Source organism: Homo sapiens, chromosome 5, assembly GCF_000001405.40.
Source record: "Homo sapiens chromosome 5, GRCh38.p14 Primary Assembly".
NCBI lineage: Eukaryota > Metazoa > Chordata > Mammalia > Primates > Hominidae > Homo > Homo sapiens.
This window is the reverse complement of record NC_000005.10, coordinates 8,615,797-8,617,574: the sequence shown is the minus strand read 5'-3', so window position 1 is coordinate 8,617,574 and position 1,778 is coordinate 8,615,797.

The window sequence follows — 1,778 nt, the reverse complement described above, 5'->3', positions numbered from 1 at the left end:
AACATGGAATCAAGGTAAATGCCCATCAATGGCAGACTAGATAAAGAAAATGTGGTACATATACACCAAGGAACACTGCATAGCCATAAAACAAATGAGATAATGTATTTTGCAGCAACTTGGATGAGCTGGAGGCCATTAGCCTAAGCAAACTAATGCAGGAACAGAAAACCAAAGACTGCATGTGCTCACTTGTAAATGGGAGCTAAATATTGAGTACATATGGACACAAAGAAGGGAACAATGGATACCAGACCTAATTGAGGGTGGAGGGTAGGAGGAGGGTGAGGATTGAAAAACTACCTATTGGGTACTATGTTTATTAATTGGGTGATGAAATAATATGTCCAACAAACCCCCACGACACGCAGTTTATCTATAGAACCAACCTGTATATGTACCCCTCAAAACTAAAAGTTTAGAAATAAAATATACAATACAATACAATGTGTTTTTTTCAACCAGAAGTTCTTTAGCACATGGTAGAATTTTCTTTTTATTTTATTTTAATTTTTTTTATTATACTTGAAGTTCTAGGGTACATGTGCACAAAGTGCAGGTTTGTTACGTATGTATACACGTGCCATGTTGGTTTGCTGCACCCATTAACTCCTCGTTTACATTAGGTATTTCTCCTAATGCTATCCCTACCCCCTCCCCCCACCCCACGACAGGCCCTGGTGTGTGATGTTCCCCTTCCTGTGTCCAAGTGTTCTCATTGTTCAGTTCCCACCTATGAGTGAGAACATGCGGTGTTTGGTTTTCTGTCCTTGCGATAGTTTGCTCAGAATGATGGTTTCCAGCTTCATCCATGTCACTACAAAGGACTGAACTCATCCTTTTTTATGGCTGCGTAGTATTCCATGGTGTATATGTGCCACATTTTCTTAATCCAGTCTATCATTGATGGACATTTGGGTTGGTTCCAAGTCTTTGCTGTTGTGAATAGTGCTGCAATAAACATATGAGCACACGGTAGAATTTTCAATGCAGCCTGCATGCAGTGAGCCAGACTTAGCTCACCAGCATGTTCTATAGACTGGCTTCATTCTCAGGGGCTCCTCTCCACAACCCTGTCTCTGGTCTCTATGCCCCTTACTGAGCTACACAATCTGGGGGAAAAAAAAAACCCAAAAAACTCTATCCTTCATAATTTCCTGTTCCACATCTGTCATGTGGAGGTAATGAAATTCAATGCTGTACCTTGTAGGACTGACAAGAGAAGCAGATAGGATAACTTGGGGACAGGCACTTTGTAAACCCAACAACTTATCCCCCTGAACTTTCAGGAAATGTGTCTTTTCCTCTGATTCAGCACCCACTGTCTGGATTCATTGTAGGTCTCAGCAGTGGAAATGTTAGTGTTTTCCAAAAAACTGTAACCAATTTCAGATTCACATATCTCCTTCTTTCATACATAAAGGAGATTCACATATCTCCTTCTTTCATACGTATGTTTATATGTAGTCCTTAAAAGCTTTAGATATATCCAGCAGAAATAAATAATAATATATTTGGTTAAAAACAATGTACATCTTTACAAATAGCTTCGAATTTCAATTCTTTCAAAACAATAGTGGAAACAAAAGAGATATTAAATATTGAAGGAAAAATTCAACTATGATAATTTTATTTTCTTTAATATTTTCCTCAAAAGTTGGTGTTGACCTCTGGCTGTAGCATATATACCATCAAAAATTGTCAAATTTATCTTTACCGGCACCTCTAAAACTTATATTTACAATCAAAGTTCTCCATATTAACATGAATTAAATTTC